The 19,955-nt window shown below is 36.7% G+C and overlaps 1 protein-coding gene across 9 annotated transcripts in view; it reads left to right on the top strand.

Moving 5' to 3' along the window:
• Positions 1 to 19,955, top strand: part of STK31 (serine/threonine kinase 31) — a 122,432-nt gene that overhangs the window by 58,193 nt on the left and 44,284 nt on the right. For all 9 annotated transcript variants that reach the window (NR_048542.2, XM_011515452.4, XM_011515449.4 and 6 more), the window contains 10 exons: positions 721 to 900; positions 1,366 to 1,482; positions 2,731 to 2,850; positions 3,873 to 4,004; positions 13,145 to 13,246; positions 15,309 to 15,389; positions 17,204 to 17,329; positions 18,234 to 18,359; positions 18,564 to 18,650; positions 19,706 to 19,855. Coding sequence is in view for 8 of the 9 variants with exons in the window: in XM_011515452.4 (XP_011513754.2) it covers positions 721 to 900; positions 1,366 to 1,482; positions 2,731 to 2,850; positions 3,873 to 4,004; positions 13,145 to 13,246; positions 15,309 to 15,389; positions 17,204 to 17,329; positions 18,234 to 18,359; positions 18,564 to 18,650; positions 19,706 to 19,855 (1,221 nt within the window). In the remaining variant the exon portion in view is untranslated. The remainder of the gene's footprint in view (positions 1 to 720; positions 901 to 1,365; positions 1,483 to 2,730; positions 2,851 to 3,872; positions 4,005 to 13,144; positions 13,247 to 15,308; positions 15,390 to 17,203; positions 17,330 to 18,233; positions 18,360 to 18,563; positions 18,651 to 19,705; positions 19,856 to 19,955) is intronic.

Here is a 19,955-nt window from a genome sequence, read left to right on the forward strand (position 1 = left end):
GTAGTTTGGTTGTGTAGTAAATTTATACCATCTAGGTTTGCATCAGTACACTCCATGATGTTTGCATAATGATGAAATTGCCTCACGATGCATTTCTTAGAAGATATCCGTGTTGTTAAGTGATGCATGATTGTCCATATATATGTTTAATGTCTTTACTTAATTAGAATTATTTGTATATTTTAGCGTGTAGTTTATTTTTATTTGGCAATCGGTCTTAGAAACTTTCATGCCAGGACAAACAGTAGTGATTCTTATGATAGACAAAGGAGACTCAGAAGGGTGATTAGGGGTGGAGAGTGGTGGATGTTGAGAAATTACTTAATGGGTTCAATGTACATTTGGATGATAGATACACTAAAGCCCAGACTTTACCACTACACAATATATCCATGTAGCAAAATTACTCTTGTACTTAATAAATTTATACAAAAAGTTAGGGAAAACAGGGTAATGTCTACTTAATTAAAAACCATAAGGATATAAAGCTTTCTATTTGTAACTAATTCACTTAATAAACTTTACTGTTATGGTCCAAATAAACCACCTTCTAGGTAGTTTTGTGTTTTCATCTCTATCTGATGATTCTAAGTTGTATTTATGAAATTCTCAAGAATGGGGATTCAGCATACTGCTTTTCTACCCCTTAGATCCTAACACAGTGCTCGAATCCTGAATTAGTTAATAAACTTTAATAAACAGAAGTATATCTCTCTGCAGGATTTGTCAGTCTCTTTAGAAGCAGTGTATGGACAAGCCAAAGAAGGAGCAAATTCTGATGAAATACTTAAAAAATTTTATGACTGGAAGTGTGATAAAAGAGAGGAGTTCACCAGTGTTAGAAGTGAAACAGACGCTTCTCTGCACCGTCTTGTAGCATGGTTCCAAAGAACCTTAAAGGTAATAAAAGCTCCTGCCCGGTTGTGTTTGTAGCATAAACCAGGGAATATATATTTTAAAAATCACGCGCTTTGTTCAAGAGCTGACATCATCTACCTACTATGTATCAGATTTAAAATTGCCACCTTACCAGTCAAGGTTCTTTATTAGCTTTTAGTCAGATTGCTCCTTTTATTAGTCTCAAAAAAATCATATCGGTCTTGTTCCTCCTTTTTCTCAGCTTTTCCTAAGGATTGTCCTCTTTCCTCTTTTAACCATTTATTTATTTTCTTACAGTATGCTATGTGTATGTACCTTTTCCTTTCAGTGCATAAATTTTATGAGGGTAGGCACTTTTTTTTCCTGCATTCCTAGTTCTTTTACATTGCCCAGGGTATAGCTTAATACTCTGCTTCAGGTATTAAGGCACGATGAATGCTGATTGAATTAAATGAGATATTTCATGTGTTTATTTTTGCAAATGAGGTTTTTGACCTATCTGTGGAAGGATCACTGATTTCAGAAGACGCAATGGATAATATTGATGAAATCCTAGAGAAGACTGAGTCAAGTGTCTGCAAAGAGCTGGAGATAGCTCTGGTTGTGAGTATCGATATTCTTTATTATTGCCTCCTTTGAAGCAGTGTGGTTTCCTTTCATGGTTAGAAAGTATTAACCAATAATAGAGTTTTTCTTGCTAGTTAGAAAGTATTAAGACTGATCTTAGCTTTCTTCTAATAGGCTTGTTGAAAGAGTAACAATGTCTAGTTCTAATCCAGACACCATGCAAAGTCTTATTCTTAGGTGACATTTTTGTTTTAATAGGACATTTCACATAAAAAATCTGTTTAATTCTAAGAAAACTGCTCTTAATTTGAGTGGACAATCTTGTCTATATTTTGATTCTTGAATGCGTCATACCAAATGACTATAAGAAGAGACTCCTTAGAGTTTGTGAAAACTTAAAATCTGAGAGAGCTCTGAAAGTTGACACACAAGATGGAGTGGTCATCCTCTTTCTTTCTCCATTGTGTATATTCTTTGTTACAGTGTCAAGGTAAAAATTAGTGTAGCTACTCCAAAGGGTGTTTTGTAATTTTAATTATTGCTCATTGGGACTCTTCCCAGTTATTCAGGCTGCTTTCCAATGTTTCAGTGGTTAGGCTTCTCATTTTACTTGTTTTTTCTTTTTTTTACTTTTTATAATTTTACTCATATTGGCATTAAAAATACATTAAGAAGTTTTATATTGTTAAATAGTCCTGATGTAGATAGTTTTGTCAGACTTGATTTTAGTAGTAGTTGTTAACAGGTGATTTCTAAAAGTAAAGTGTTGAAGGTCTATATATTGTTTATAGTTCTTATATTTAGCATATTAGTATCCCTGATTTCCATTAATGCTCTTATTCTACACAGCTTTGGGAATAATGGTGTAATACGGGTAAAGTTTCCCATATGAATGGCTTTGCTTTTTTTAGAGAGACAGTGTCTTGCTCTGTCGCCCAGGCTGGAGTGCATTGATGTGATCCTAGCTCACTGCAGCCTTGAACTCCTTAATCTCCCTGCCTCAGCCTCCCTTGTAGCTAGGACTACAGGTGTATACCACTGTGCTCAGCTAATTAAAAATTTTTTTTTAGGGACTGGTCTCACTATGTTGCCTGGCTGCCATATGAACATCTTTGATATCTATCTATCTTCTGACTAGGAAAACATTTGTGTTTAAGAACTGTTTTGAAATCACTGCGGAAATCTGTTAAAGGCATAATTTTGAAGTTTATCTATTGTTATTGGAGGCCTTAGCTGTTTTGGATATTCCTTTGTGTATAATTCTATGTGTGTGATTTCATTTAGGATCAAGGTGATGCAGACAAGGAGATAATTTCAAATACATATAGTCAAGTACTGCAAAAGATTCATTCAGAGGAAAGGCTCATTGCCACAGTACAAGCTAAGTACAAGGACAGTATTGAGGTTTGATTGTGCTTTCTCTTATTGATCTTATAAATTGATGATTTGAATTTTTCAGTACTTAAATTTTTCTATTGTTGTTTAATACTCAGTGTCAGTAAATTGTTATTACTAGAATTCACTGTCAACTGGAAATGGTGATTTTTGATGATATAAATATATCAAATTTTTTATTGTTTTAAATATTTTATTATGTCCATGAGAACCACAATTTTTAACATCATTTTCTTTTTGCCTGTATGAGTCTACTGTAGATAATTTGCTATATACAGAAAGATAAGAAATAAAACATTGCTTATAATTCCCTTAGCCTAAGAGATAGTTTTAGAGTATTTACTCACTGGATGTGCATCTGTATGTTTGTGAGCATATATATATGCATTGCATTGTTTTTTAAGTTACTTCAAACATACTTTCTTCATTTAATGGTATATTATGAACATTTTTCTATATGATTTTTCTATACTGTCATCTTGAGTGACTAAATCCTCATCCCTATGTAGATGTACAACAACATTAACCTTTCATGTGTGTTGGACATTAAGGTTACTTCCAATTTTTCCTACCATAAATAACACTGTACATATGTTTGTGCATAATTTTTTGTTTTTATTTCTCAGATTTCTAAATTCTATAATTACTGAGTTAAAAGGAATGGACATTATTAATTAAAACTTGATACATATTTTCAAACCACTTTTGGGAAAGATGATTTCAGTTTACATCCTCACTAGAAATTCCTTTTTCATCCATACTAACAATGTGTGTTTTATTGTATGTCTCAGTTTGAAATATTACTTTTGTCTTTGTTACTTTGAGTGCTGGAACTGATATTCTTCTAAATAGAAACATGGATTAAAAAGGAAATCTATTGAATTGTCTTGTTGAAAATTATAGATTTTCTTGGTATTTCAGTCTGAACTCAGTAAATACTAGTTGAATCTTAACAGAGAAATAATAAATGATCACTGTTCAATAAATACTTTTCTTATGTGTTTGAAAATACGTAACTTTTGTTTACTTAGTTTAAAAAGCAGCTTATTGAATATTTAAATAAGAGTCCCAGTGTGGATCACTTGCTATCCATTAAGAAGACATTGAAAAGCTTAAAAGCTCTACTCAGATGGAAATTGGTTGAAAAGAGTAATTTGGAAGAGGTAAGGAAACAGTTGTTTCTTACTGATCTTTATGTGCATCTCATTTTACTTGGTCTCTGCTTCATAAAAATAATGCATAAATACACTCTTTACAATAAGAGAGCCATTACATTCACATTTTGTTTTATATACTTTATCTTGTTTTCTGTGTATATAAATAAAATTGAGATTACAGTAATAGTGTAAAAATTTTCCTATATCATTAAATATTCTTTAAAAACATTTTCCTAGGCTGCCTTGGTTCTTAGTAACATGAACATTTTAGAATAATTTTAAAAGCTCTTTTAGTTTGGACTGTTAGAATGTTTATTGTAATACCAACTTGCTACATGCAGGTGACAGGGTACCCCCTCGAAGGTAGCGTTTTGTCATAAAGTATTTTTAAGATCATGGTATCTTTTGTTAACTCCCTTTTTATGGATAGATGTAATATTTCTTGCAAGTATTTTAAGTTGCTTTTATATGATAATAGAACTGGAGAGGATTAGGATGCCCTAATCTGGACTAACTTCTTCCTTTAGGCTTGAAACTTTGTGAATAAGATAGTAAACTTTGTGTTCCTTTGAGGATTTGATTTATGTACAAGGATCTGTATTATGCCTTAATCCAATTTGAATTATCTGTCTTCTACTTCTGAGCACTGAATTGGGGGTGGAGCGGAGGACTATTCTAGAACTAATATCATAGTTGAAGAACTTTCTAGTTTTATTCTATTCTGGGCTTTGGGGAAGTTGATTTTTTTAGTCTGATTTTTCAACTTTTGGAGAAATCTGACTTTTGTTATACTTTAAGTTCTGGGATACATGTGCAGAATGTGCAGGTTTGTTACATAGGTATACACGTGCCATGGTGGTTTGCTGCACCCATCAACCCGTCACCTACATTAGGTATTTCTCCTAATGCTATTCCTCCCCTAGACCCCCACCCCCTGACAGGCCCAGTGTGTGATGTTCCCCTCCCTGTGTCCATATTTTCTCATTGTTCACCTCATCTTATGAGTGAGAACATGCGGTGTTTGGTTTTCTGTTCCTGTGTTAGTTTGCTGAGACTGATGGTTTCCAGTTTCATCCTTGTCCCTGCAAAGAACACGAACTCGTCCTTTTTTATAGCTGCATAATATTCCATGGTGTATATGTGCCACATTTTCTTTATCCACTCAATCATTGGTGGGCATTTGGGTTGGTTCGAAGTCTTTGCTATTGTGAACAGTACTGCAGTAAACCTACATGTGCATGTGTCTTTATAGTAGAATGATTTATAATCCTTTGGGTATATACCCAGTAATGGTATTGCTGGGTCAAATGGTATTTCTGGTTCTAGATCCTTCAGGAATTGCCACACTGTCTTCCACAATGGTTGAACTAATTTACACTCCCACCAACAGTGTAAAAGTATTCCTATTTCTCCACATCCTCTCCAGCATCTGTGGTTTCCTGACTTGTGTGTGTGTGTGTGAGTGTGTGTGTGTGTGTGTGTGTATTTGTATGTTGCCTATGTTGTTTTTTTTTTCATTATTATACTTTAAGTTCTACAGTACATGTGCACAACGTGCAGGTTTATTACATAGGTATACATGTGCCATGTTGGTTTGCTGCACCCATTAACTAGTCATTTACATTAGGTATTTCTCCTAATGCTGTCTCTCTCCCTGCCACCCCCCACCCCACAACAGACCCCGGGGTGTGATGGTCCCCTTCCTGTGTTCAAGTGTTCCCATTGTTCAGTTCCCACCTATGAGTGAGAACATGTGGTGTTTGGTTTTCTGTCCTTGTGATAGTTTGCTGAGAATGATGGCTTCCAGTTGCATCCATGTCCCTGCAAAGGACATGAAATCATCCTTTTTTATGGCTGCATAGTATTCCATGGTGTATATGTGCCACATATTCTTAATCCAGTCTATTATTGATGGGCAACTGGGTTTGTTCCAAGTCTTTGCTATTGTGAATAGTGCCACACTAAACATACGTGTGCATGTGTCTTTATAGTAGCATGATTTATAATCCTTTGGGTATATACCCAGTAATGGGATGGCTGGGTCAAATGGTATTTCTAGTTCTAGATCCTTGAGGAATTGCCACACTGTCTTCCACAATGGTTGAACTAGTTTACAGTCCCACCAACAGTGTAAAAGTGTTCCTATTTCTCCACATCCTCCCCACTGTCTGTTGTTTCCTGACTTTTTAATGATCACCATTCTAACTGGTATGAGATCGTATCTCACTGTGGTTTTGATTTGCATTTCTCTGATGACCAGTGATGATGAGCATTTTTTCATGTGTCTGTTGGCTGCATAAATGTCTTCTTTTGAGAAGTGTCTGTTCATATCCTTTGCCCACTTTTTGATGGGATTGTTTTTTTCTTGTAAATTTGTTTAAGTCGTGGTAGATTCTGGATATTAAACCTTTGTCAGATGGGTAGATTGCAAAAATTTTCTCCATTTTGTAGGTTGCCTGTTCACTCTGATAGTAGTTTCTTTTGCTGTGCAGAAGCTCTTTAGTTTAATTAGATCCCATTTGTCAATTTTGTCTTTTGTTGCCATTGCTTTTGGTGTTTTGGACATGAAGTCCTTGCCCATGCCTATGTCCTGAATGGTATTGCCTAGGTTTTCTTCTAGAGTTGTTATGGTTTTAGGTCTAATATTTAAGTCTTTAATCCACCTTGAATTAATTTTTGTATAAGGTGTAAGGAAGGTATCCAGTTTCAGCTTTCTACATATGGCTAGCCCGTTTTCCCAACACCATTTATTAAGTAGGGAATCCTTTCCCCATTGCTTTCCCAGTTTTCCCAATAACATTTATTAAATAGGGAATCCTTTCCCCATTGCTTGCTTCTGTCAGGTTTGTCAAAGATCAGATGGTTGTAGATGTGTGACATTATTTCTGAGGCCTCTTTGTGTTCCATTGGTCTGTATATCTGTTTTGGCACCAGTACCATGCTGTTTTGGTTACTGTAGCCTTGTAGTATAGTTAAAGTCAGGTAGCATGATGCCTCCAGCTTTGTTCTTTTTGCTTAGGATTGTCTTGGCTATCTGGGCTCTTTTTTAGTTCCATATGAAATTTAAAGTAGTTTTAAAAAAATTCTGTGCAGAAATTCAGTGGTGGCTTGATGGGAATAGCATTGAATTTATAAATTACTTTGGGCAGTATGGCCATTTTCATGATGTTCATTCTTCCTATCCATGAGCATGAAAATTTTTTCCATTTGTTTGTGTCCTCTCTTATTTCGTTGAGCAGTGGTTTGTAGTTCTCCTTGAAGAGGTCCTTCACATACCTTGTTAGCTGTATTCCTAGATACCTTATTCCCTTTGTAGCAATTGTGAATGGGAGTTCACTCATGATTTGGCTCTCTGTTTGCCTATTATTGGTGTATAGGAATGCTTGTGATTTTTGCACATTGATTTTGTATCCTGAGACTTTGCTGAAGTTGCTTATCAGCTTAAGGAGATTTTGGGCTGAGACGATGGGGTTTTCTAAATATACAATCATGTCATCTGCAAACAGAGACAATTTGACTTCCTGTCTTCTTATGTGAATACCTTTTATTTCTTTCTCTTGCTTGATTGCCCTGTCCAGAACTTCCAATACTGTGTTAAATAGGAGTGGTGAGAGTGGGCATGCTTGTCCTGGTGACAGTTGTCAAAGGGATGCTTCCAGATTTTCCCATTCAGTATGATATTGGCTGTGGGTTTGTCATAAATGGCTCTTAATATTTTGAGATGCATTCCATCAGTACCTAGTTAGTTGAGAATTTTTAGCAAGAAGTGTGTCAAATTTTATCAAAGGCTTTTTCTGCATCTGTTGAGATAGTCGTGTGGTTTTTGTCATTGGTTCTGTTTATGTGATGCATTCTGTTTACTTATTTGCATATTTTGAACCAGCGTTGCATCCCAGGGATGAAGCTGACTTGATTTTGGTGGATAAGCTTTTTGATGTGCTGCTGAATTCAGTTTGCCAGTATTTTATTGAGGATTTTTGCATCAATGTTCGTCAGGGATATTGGCCTGAAATTTTCTTTTTTTTTGTTGTGTCTCTGCCAGGTTTTTGTACGAGGATGATGCTGGCCTCATAAAATGAGTTAGGGAGGATTCCCTCTTTTTCTGTTGTTTGGAATTGTTTCAGAAAGAATGGTACTAGCTCTTCTTTGTACCTCTGGTGGAATTCACCTGTGTATCTGTCTGGTCCTGGACTTTTTTTGGTTGGTAGGCTATTAATAACTGCCTCAATTTCAGAACTTATTGTTGGTCTATTCAGGGATTCGACTTCTTCCTGATTTAGTCTTGGGAGGGTGTATGTGTCCAGGAATTTTTCCATTTCTTCTAGATTTTCTAGTCGATTTGCATAGAGGTGTTTATTGTATTCTGTGATAGTAGCTTGGATTTCTGTGGGATCAGTGGTGATATCCCCTTTATCATTTTTTATTGTGTCTATTTGATTCTTCTTTATTAGTCTGGCTAGTGGTCTATCTATTTTGTTGATCTTTTCAAAAAACCAACTCCTGGATTCATTGATTTTTTTTTGAAGGGTTTTTCATGTCTCTATCTCCTCCAGTTCTGCCCTGATCTTAGTTATTTCTTGTCTTCTACTAGCTTTTGAATTAGTTTGTTCTTGCTTCTGTAGCTCTTCTAATTGTGATGTTAGGGTGTCGATTTTAGATCTTTTCCGCTTTCACCTGTGGGCATTTAGTGCTATAAATTTCCCTCTAAACACTGCTTTAGCTGTGTCCCAGAGATTCTGGTACATTGTGTCTTTGTTCTCATTGGTTTCAAAGAACTTATTTATTTCTGCCTTAATTTTGTTAATTACCCAGTAGTCATTCAGGAGCAGGTTGTTCAATTTCCATGTAGTTGTGTGGTTTTCAGAGAGTTTCTCAATCTTAAGTTCTACTTTGATTGCACTGTGATCTGAGAGACTTGTTTGTTATGATTTCTGTTCTTTTCCATTTGCCAGGAAGTGTTTTACTTCCAACTGTGTGGTCAGTTTTAGAATAAGTGTGATGTGGTGCTGAAAAGAATGTATATTCTGTTGATTTGGGGTGGAGAGTTCTGTAGGTGTTTATTAGGTCCACTTGGTCCAGAGTTGAGTTCAAGTCCTGAATATCCTTGTTAATTTTCCATCTCATTGATCTGTCTAGTCTAATACTGACAGTAGGGTGTTAAAGTCTCCCACTATTATTGTGTGGGAGTCTAATTCTCTTTGTAGGTCTCTAAGATCTTGCTTTATGAATCTGGGTGCTCCTGTATTGGGTGCATATATATTTAAGACAGTTAACTCTTCTTGTTGCACTGATCCCTTTACCATTATGTAATGCCCTTCTTTATTTTTATTTTTTTTTATCTTCGTTGGTTTAAAGTCTGTTTTATCAGATACCAGGATTGCAATCCCTGCTTTTTTTTGCTTTCCATCTGCTTGGTAAATCTTCCTCCATCCCTTTATTTTGAGCCTATGGTGTGTCTTTGCACGTCAGATGGGTCTCCTGAATATAGCACACCAATGGGTCTTGACTCTTTATCCAATTTGCCAGTCCTTGTCTTTTAATTGGGGCATTTCACCTGTTTACATTTCAGGTCAATATTGTTATTTGTGAATTTGATCCTGTCATTATGATACTAACTGGTTATTTTGCCCATTAGTTGATGTAGTTTCTTCATAGTGTCGACGGTCTTTACAATTTGGTATGTTTTTGCATTGGCTGGAACCAGTTGTTCCTTTCCATATTTAGTGCTTCCTTTAGGAGCTCTTATAAGGCAGGTCTGATTGTGACAAAGTCTCTCAGCATTTGCTTGTCTATAAAGGATTTTAGTTCTCCTTTGCTTGTGAAGCTTAGTTTGGCTGGATATGAAATTCTGGTCTGAAAATTCTTTTCTTTAAGAATGTTGAATATTGGCCCCCACTCTCTTCTGGCATTGTACAGTTTCTGCAGAGAAATTGCTGTTAGTTTGATGGGCTTCCCTTTGTGAGTAACCCAACCTTTCTCTCTGGCTTCCCTTAACATTTTTTCCTTCATTTCAACCTTGGTGAATCTGACAATTATGTGTCTTGGGGTTGCTGTTTTTGAGGAGTAGGTTTTTGGTGTTCTCTGTATTTCCTGAATTTGAATGTTGACCTGTCCTGCTAGGTTGGGGAAGTTCTCCTGGATAATATGCTTAAGTGTGTTTTCCAACTTGGTTCCCTTTTCCCTGTCACTTTCAGGTACACCAGTCAAACGTAGGTTTGGTCTTTTCACATAGTCGAATATTTCTTCAAGGCTTTGTTCTTTTTCATTTTTTTTCTTTAATCTTGTCTTCATGCTTTATTTCATTAAGTTGATCTTCAATGTCTGATATCCTTTCTTCTGCTTGATTGATTTGGCTATTGATACTTGTGTATGCTTCATGAAGTTCTCATACTTTGTTTTTCAGCTCCATGAAGTCATTTATGTTCTTCTCTAAACAGGTTATTCTAGTTAGCAATTCGTCTAACCTTTTTTCAAGGTTCTTAGCTTCCTTCCATTGGGTTAGAACATGCTCCTTTAGCTCGGAGGAGTTTGTTATTACCCACCTTCTGAAGCCTACTTCTGTCAATTCATCAAACTCATTCTCCATCCAGTTTTGTTCCGTTGCTGGCGAGGACTTGTGATCCTTTGGAGGAGAAAAGATGTTCTGGTTTTTGAAATTTTCACCCTTTTTGTGCTGGTTTTTTCTCATCTTCTTGGATTTATCTACCTTTGGTCTTTGATGTTGGTGACCTTTGGATGTGTTTTTTTTTGTGTGGACGTCCTTTTTGTTTATGCTGATGCTATTCCTTTCTGTTTGTTAGTTTTCCTTCTAACAGTCAGTCCCCTCTGCTGCAGGTTTGCTGGAGTTTGCTGGAAGTCCATTGCAGACCCTGTTTGCCTGGGTATCACCAGTGGAGACTGCAGAACAGCAAAGATTGCTACATGTCCCTTCCTCTGGAAGCTTCATCCCAGAGGGGCACCTGCCAGATGCTAGCCAGAGCTATCCTGTATGAGGTGTCTGTCGTCCCCTGCTGGGAGGTGTCTTCCAGTCAGGAGGATGGGGGTCAGGGACCCACTTGAGGAGGCAGTCTGTCCCTTAGCAGAGCTCGAGCACTGTGCTGGGAGATCCGCTGCTCTCTTCAGAGCTGGCAGGCAGAAACATTAAAGTCTGCTGAAGCTATGCCCACAGCCGCCCCTTCCCCCAGGTGCTCTGTCCCAGGAGGATGGGAGTTTTATCTATAAGCCCCTGACTGGGGCTTCTATCTTTCATTCAGAGATGCCCTGCCCAGAAAGGAATCTAGAGAGGCGGTCTGGCTACAGAGGCTTTGCTGGGCTGCGGTGAGCTCCGTGGAGTCTGAACTTCCTGGTGGCTTTGTTTACACTGTGAGGGGAAAACTGCCTACTCAAGCCTCAGTAATGACAGAGGCCCCTCCCCCAACCAAGCTGGAGTGACCCAGGTTGACTTCAGACTGCCATGCTGGCAGTGAGAATTTCAAGCTAGTGGATCTTAGCTTGCTGGGCCCCATGGGGGTGGGATCTGCTGAGCAGGACCACTTGGCTCCCTGGCTTCAACCCTCTTTTCAGGGGAGTCAACGGTTCTGTCTTGCTGGCATTCCAGGTGCAAGGGGGGTATGAATAAATATTCCAGCAGCTAGCTCGGTGTCTGCCCAAACGTCTGCCCAGTTTTGTGCTTGAAACCCAGGGCACTGGTGATGTATGCATCTGAGGGAATCTCCTGCTCTGTGGGTTGTGAAGACTGTTGGAAAAGCATAGTATCTGGGCCAGAATGAACCGTTCCTGATGGCACAGTCCCTCATGGCTTCCCTTGGCTAGGAGAGCGAGTTCCCCAGCCCCTTGCACTTCCTGGGTGAGGTGACTCCCCACCCTGCTTTTGCTTGCCCTCTGTAGGCTGCACCCACTGTCTAACTAGTCCCAGTGAGATAAGCCGGGTACCTCAGTTTGAAATGCAGAAATCACTCACCTTGTCTGTTGATCTCGCTGGGAGCTGCAGACCGGAGCTGTTACTATTTGGCCATCTTAGTATCTGGATCCTTGAAATCTGACTTTTAAAGTGTAAACCAAACTATCTGAGGCAGGTATCAATCAATTTAGAAAGTTTGTTTTGCCAAGGTTAAGGATGCATGCCTGGGAGGCAGGTCTGTGCCTTTCTCAGAGATGATTTTGAGGGCTTAAATATTTAAAAGGGAAAGGATGGATACTGGGGAAAGAGGAAGAAATTTTAAAAAGATGTGAGTAGATAAGAGACAGATGGTTTGAATTCTTTAATCCTTGATCACCTTTCAGCAAATACACTATTTACATTTGAGAGAGGGGTAGAGGAATAGTCACTAGCTCAGTGAATCTGCATTTTTACATCAGAGGAAGGAATCAGATATGCATTTGTCTCAGTTGAGCAAAGGGATGATGACTTAGAGTTCTGTCCTTTGTCCTGCACCTGAGAAAATAAGCCATCAATTTACCTTGTCAGGGTAAAATTCAACAGAACTGTTTTAGGGTGAAGATCCTGAGACCCATAAGGAATTTCCTACTGAGCAAATTGTGAGAGAGGTGTGCAGGGTTTTTATGGTTGTAGCTATCTTATTTAGGAATAAAATGAGAAGCTGGTTTGCCTGACACAGTTCCCAGCTTGACTTTTTCCTTTGGCTTAGTGATTTAAAGTTCACAAGATTTATTTTCCTTTCACAAAAGCATACATACTTTTTAAGGTGGCTTATGTATTATCATTGGAGACAGTTCACACATTTACTCATCCTTTTGTTTTGTTTTTAACTAAATATCATGTAGAAGACAATTCTAGGGAATTCAGGTGTATTCTGGTTGCTATTATTAACATTTCTTTTGTTCGAATGGCAGTTGGCCATCTTTATCTTAGAGAAAATCTACAGCAGATGAAGAGACAAGAAAAATCTGTATAATTGATTTTATGTCTTTACTTTTTGTAATTCCTTTTTCTAGGTTTCAGAAAAGTCATTGTTAGAATAAATTGACCTAAGTTAATTCAGCAAGTATTAGAAGGGTCTTTTATGTGCTAGGTACTGAAGGATACATAGAAACCACACAGAGTAATTTACTATAGAACTTGAATTCTTAAAAGAAGACTTGTTTTCTCTATGTTAATAAAAAACACTTTTTCTTTCTGATTCAAGTCAGATGATCCTGATGGCTCTCAAATTGAGAAAATAAAAGAAGAAATAACTCAGCTGCGCAATAATGTCTTTCAGGAAATTTATCATGAGAGAGAGGAATATGTAAGTATTTGGTTCTTTGAAGTTTTACATTAGGTTTTACTCTAGAAATTGAATTTAAATACCCGTTTTATGAAGTGGACTGTAATCACAAGGCTAGAGGTATTATATAGAAAGTTTATATATATATTGACCTGGTAAGATTTTTGTAAATTTAGAAATAAATTTCACATGACAAAATATTCTGACCATTGTACCAGTGTGGAAATAACTGAAAATTGTAAAGAAGGAAAAACATCACTTGTAATATTTCCACTCAGTGATAATAGTAGTAATCACTGTTAACTTTTGACTTTCTTTTAGTATTTTTTTGTTTGTTTTTAGAATTGAGATTATAGCACAGACACACTTTTGCATATTGCCTTTTTTCTGTTTAACATAAAACCTAAAGACCTTTTCCTTACATCAACGTCATTTTCCCATAATGTTGCAGTGAAAACATTAATGGAGCACATAATTTAGTTGAAGAATGTAACAAAATAAGTCTACCTGGTTTTGGGGGCAGGAGAAGTTACATCTTTTAAGTCTCTATTTTTACCACTGATTTTTGTGAGCTTGGGAAAATAAGTCATTGTATTTTTTCTTTAAAATGGAAGAATATTGTATTTTATATCTGGGAGATGTTACCAGGAAGAAGTTAGTTAAGAAACAGTGCTTTGAAAGTAAAAATACTGACCGGGCATGGCGGCTCACACCTGTAGTCCCAGCACTTTGGGAGGCCGAGGCGGGCGGATCACTTGAGCCCGGGAGTTTGAGACCAGCTTGGGCACATGGTGAGACCCCATCTCTACAAAAAATACAACAATTAGCTGGTCATGGTGTCATGTACCTGTAGTCCCAGCTGCTTTGGAGGCTGAGGCAGGAGGATTGCTTGAACCCAGGAGGTTGAGGCTGCATTGAGCTATGATCATGCCTCTGCATTCCAGCCTGGGCAACAGAGCAAGACCCTGTCTCAAAAAAAAAAAAAAAAAAAAAGAAAAGAAAAGAAAGTAATAATATTAATACTGTGAAAACAATAGGTAAGTGTCATGCTTTCTTTAGCAAATTCATCTGCGTATATGTAAATACCTTATGGACCTTGGGTTAAAATAGCGATCTTGCAATGATTTGACAAGTGTTTAGAAGTTTTGCTTAATAAATATGTGATAAGTGGCTTTTCTTTCGTGAGGGTACTCAATTTTCACATTTATTTCAAAGTTACTTATGTAGAGCTATGTGTTTTTTCTCTTAGGCTTTAAAAATTTTTCTTAACGAAACAGCTGTTATTTTAAAATGTCACTGTGTTCTTAATATTTTGAGAAATAATGACAGTTTTATGCCTCAAATTGAAATATTATCAGACATTTTCATTTTAGTTTGGAAGTGGGTGAGGACTTTGACCTTGCAAGATTTGTGCTTATGTATGTATCCAAAGCTTAAAATTGGTAATTAAATTTTTCTTCAATTAGTAAGATGGTAGTTTAGATGGGTTAAAAAAAAAAACTTCAGCCAACTTAAATTTAAAGGAGCAATGAACAATTCGCAAATTGGGCAGCTGAATCACAGCATATTCGGAGAGACTCTGGGGATGCTTTGTGGTCAGAACAAATTAATAGACGAAAAAAGGAAAGTGGCTTTCAGAAATTGGCAGCGAGGTACAGAAACAGCTATATTGGTTACAGATTGGTGTTTGCCTTATTTGAACACAGTTTGAACACTTAGCAGTCTGTAAGTGGTTGAAGTATGGCGGCTGGGATTGGCCAAGACTCAGCTATTGTTATAGGTCCACACTGCTAAGTTACATTTTCAGTCTCGTCTGCCTGTTAAGCTAGGTTGCAGTTCATCCACAAGGACTCAAATATAGAAGTACGGAGTCCTTCTCAGGCCATGTTTAATTTGCTTTAGCAGATGCAAGGTGAGTCGTGGTTTTCACTTGTTATTTCTTGAAGTAGAAGGCAAAATCAGTGATTATGTATCTTACTGGATATGTTATAAGGTAGATGCTGATATATTTTCCTGAAGAGCAACATGTCAAAATTGAATATATATTGATCTACAGTTAAAAACTTTTTTTTTTTAACTTTAGGAGATGCTAACTAGTTTGGCACAGAAATGGTTCCCTGAGCTGCCTCTGCTTCATCCTGAAATAGGATTACTCAAATACATGGTAAACTTTGTTTCCCTTGCGAATTACTACTCTTCAGAGGGTGTTGAAAAGTGATAATATTAAATTTGTGTCAGTGTTAAACTTATAGTATCTTTTAAATAAAAATACTCCTGATGAATATTTTATGGGTATTAGAACTTTTTCTTATGACCCTTTAATAGTTGCATGGTATATATTTGTATTTTTATGTAAATTTGCATTATCCGTTTTTCTGCTTTCCTCATCCTCATTCAGTACATTGCATGACACTTATTTGAATTATAGGTGTTTACTTTTTGAAATGACAAAATAAAATTTTAACTGCTATTTCAAGAGTTAGGATAAAAACAAGATATTGCTAGCCCTGAGGGATTTGAGCACAATGGGTTTTTTAAGTTAAAGCAGTCTGGGAAAAAATTCTAGAGAGGTTGGTTAAGGTAGAGATGTTGAGGTGGGTATGGTTTTCTAGGTAGGCAGGATTCAAAAGCTGGAGATCAGCATATTAAATAGGGGCCATAGGGAGCAGGATTAGTAAACACTGGTTTACTAATCTGTTAGTCCTGAATCTGTTAGTCCTGCGATTTATATTGCCTTCTACAGTGAGGGCCTAGATGAGGTATTTATTCATTAAGATTGTCACGAAGTCCATTATAATGGCTTAAATATGGTACAGAGAGGGATATTTGTGTAGACATGTGAGTTTATTCTAAAAAATATTTAAGATTAAAGTTCCCTAACTTAAATAATTACTCTAAACTCTTTCTAGACTAGACTTTAAAATGATGTGAGTTTTTTCTTGCAACTATTTAGCTTAGTGATTACCTTATGCAGTGTGGGCAAATAAGTATGTACTGCCACATGGGACTTGAAAATTAATATTTAAAAATATGCTAATCTACTTTATTATGGAAGATTATAAAAGGTTTGACTCATGGTTTATTGAAGTCTTTAATGGCTTTCTGATGTTTAACTGTAATGTATGCTTAGGAATTTTTTGTAGGTTGATTATGTATTGTAGAATACTTAAATGTACCGACAAGACTTAAAAAAAAAACCCAGAAAACAATTCTACAATGCCTCTTACTGAAACTGCACCACAGTAAAACTTAGCTTTGTTTAAAATGTTGATGATCATATTTTAGTGTGAAAAATTATTCCTTTTAAAAAGTAGCAGAAATATCTAGTAAAATTAGTTATTGAAAGCCATTTTCACTTTTGAGGACTCCAAACAGGGGCAGAGGTGTTAGAATTACTTCATGGTAGTCATAATTTTTGGACTAATCTTTCCCATTTGATACCTACATTTTTGTCATTATTTTACCTTATTTATTTTTTGTTTTTTTACAAATGTTTATTTCAGTAGTTTTTGGGGTACAGGTGTTTTGTGGTTACATGGATAAGTTCTTTAGTGGTGATTTCTGAGATTTTAGTGCACCCATCACCTGAGTGGTGTACACTAACCCAATATGTAGTCCCTCATTCCTCACCCCCGTCCCAATCAGTTGTTACTTTAGTATTTTTTAGGAAACATAAGTGGTTTTTCAAGTAAACATTAGGGATCCTAGGATGCATGTCTGGTTGATTCTAGTCATTTCCTGAATCTGTTCTAAAATTATAGCAGTAATTAAATGTATGGTGATTACACTTTGGGTAGGAGGAGTTTAAGAGCCAGGAACTGGAGAAAGTACACAGTTTTAAAGATTTTAATTTTGTTGGTTTTTCCAGTACAGTTGATGGTGTCCAAGTCATTTAATATCGTGTAACTAATTATTTTGATGATTTTTAAGTGCTGGGATTGTTTGGATTCTTTAACTGTGATAAAAACTTGTGCCTAGAACTCTGGTGGTCTCCTTACAATGAGCTTGGAACGAGATCTTCTTGATGCTGAGCCCATGAAGGAACTTAGCAGCAAGCGTCCTTTGGTACGTTCTGAGGTTAATGGGCAGATAATTCTGTTAAAGGTAAGTCTAACTTCTTCTTACTTGTGGGAGATTCAGCAGCATAAAGGATAGTGGTGCTGTTACATTTCAAGAAAGAAAAAACCTCACTGTTAGTTTTCTAAAGTGTATAAGTTGACTGGCATGATAATTGTGCTTGTAGTTTGGTTGCCAGAACTAATTTTCACTTTTAAAGTTTCCCTCAATTGAACAATGAGAACACTTGGACACAGGGCGGGGAACATCACCCGTGGGGGCCTGTCATGGGGTGGGGGGCAGGGGGAGGGATAGCATTAGGAGAAATACCTAATGTAAATGATGAGTTAATGGGTGCAGCAAACCAACATGGCACATGTATACATATGTAACAAACCTGCACGTTGTGCACATGTACCCTAGAACTTAAAGTATAATAATAAAAATAAGTATATAAAAGTCATTAAATAAAGCTTTGTCTCACAAGAAAAAAAAATAAAGTTTCCCTCATTTCCCTAAATAGAATATGTCCTTAATAGGATATACTTTCCTTTTTTTTTGGGTGAACTTATTATAGTCATCCAATATCTTTTTAAAATTCTTGATTTTCTTACATTTCTCCTTGAAATCTCAGCTGTGTTATCAGTACAATCTTCTACTCTTTAATTTCTTCTTCTCATTGATCTGGGAAACTGTTAATCATGATAATAAGATAATTAATTTGGCCTTAGTTGCTACACATTCTAGAATGTGTAGCAGGCTACAGGTAGAATTGCACTTTCCTTTTCCAAATTATAGCATTCAAAGAAGATAGAAAAGTACTTATAAAATTAAAAAATAAAATTAGATTTGATTTAACTTAAAATAATGAATTATGTTTAAATTGGAATGATGTATAATTATAATGAGATTTTCATCTTGGAATTACGAGTGCCTCTTTCTTTGGTACAAGGGCTATTCTGTGGATGTTGACACAGAAGCCAAGGTGATTGAGAGAGCAGCCACCTACCATAGAGCTTGGAGAGAAGCTGAAGGAGACTCAGGGTTACTGCCATTGATATTCCTGTTTTTATGTAAGGTAAAGTTCTTATGCTAATCTCTTGCAGAAACCATTTTATCTTGCAGAAACTATTTTATTTAAAATAAATTTTAGCTCCAGGTTTTAGAGCAGCAGTTCATTCCCCTTAACATAAAAGAAAAATTATCCCATAGAATCAATGTATGCTAAAAATATGTTGAAGAAGTTTTTACTTGGAGTCACATTCTCTGTTTTGCTTCTTAGTCTGATCCTATGGCTTATCTGATGGTCCCATACTACCCTAGGGCAAACCTGAATGCTGTTCAAGCCAACATGCCTTTAAATTCAGAAGTAAGTAAAAAGCACTATTTATTTCCATGGATGTATTAAATGAGAAAATAACACCTGATATTTATTCAGGCATACTACATGCTATGTATTTTGTAAAATTTTGACTCATGGTATTCTATTTGTCACCTCAAGCCTGTGATAGAAGTTATCGTGTTATATAGATGAGAAAAAGCGTTAAAGGGATTAGATTAAGTGACTTGCACAGGGTCCGTTAGCCAGAGGTAGAGCTGGGACTCGAAATTAAGTCTTTCTGGTTCCAAAGCCCAAACTTACAACTGCTAAGCTGTGCTGTATGTGAACTGCCTAATATAGCACTTGGTACTGTAAGTGCTTAAGTGGCAGCTTTAATTTTTGTCATTGTAAGTTTAGGATTAGTAATAACAGTAAAGGAGGCCCTGATTCTTCTTATGGAGTAACACTGTTTCAGTCTCTTATAGCTACTTTACATGGTTGGTATTTGTAATCCAAGTCTTCTTTGAGATGATAGAACAGGTGTCCTCAGACCCCAGGTCGCAGACTGGTACCAGTCTGTGGCCTGTTAAGAACAGGGCGGCACAGCAGGAGGTGAGTGGCAGGTGAGCAAGCATTACTGCCTGAGCTCCACTTCCTGTAAGATCAGTAGAGGCATTAGATTCTCATAGGAGCATAAACTCTATTGTGAACTGTGCATGTGAGGGATCTAGGTTGCGCACTCCTTGTAAGAATCTAATGCCTGTGATCTGAGGTGGAACAGTTTGATCCTGAAACCAACCCCCTGCATCCATGGAAAAATTGTCTTTCATGAAACCGGTCCCTGGTGCCCAAAAGGTATGATTGTACACACACACACACACACACACACACACACACACACACACAAACACACACAGGCACACATGGTATCACCATTACAAAATCAAGCCTTCATCTGGTCTTTCTCTATGCTGTATTCTTATTAATGGTTCATTTCGAGGAAACTTTACTCACTTCTAGAGCAGTCTTTTAATTAGAGAACAGTTTCAAGATTAAAATGATTTGCCTACTTCCTCACTTCTTTTATGTGTACTTATCTATAGGAAACTTTAAAGGTCATGAAAGGTGTTGCCCAGGGTCTGCATACATTGCATAAGGCTGACATAATTCATGGATCACTTCATCAGAACAATGTATTTGCTTTAAACCGTGAACAAGGAATTGTTGGAGATTTTGACTTCACCAAATCTGTGGTAAGATATCATGGTTTTACAAATAGGTTCTAGACTTTATTTAATATTATTAAGCAGTAGTTCAGCACTTATATATAATATAATACTTTATTATAGGATC

Source organism: Homo sapiens, chromosome 7 (genome assembly GCF_000001405.40).
Source record: "Homo sapiens chromosome 7, GRCh38.p14 Primary Assembly".
Classification (NCBI taxonomy): domain Eukaryota; kingdom Metazoa; phylum Chordata; class Mammalia; order Primates; family Hominidae; genus Homo; species Homo sapiens.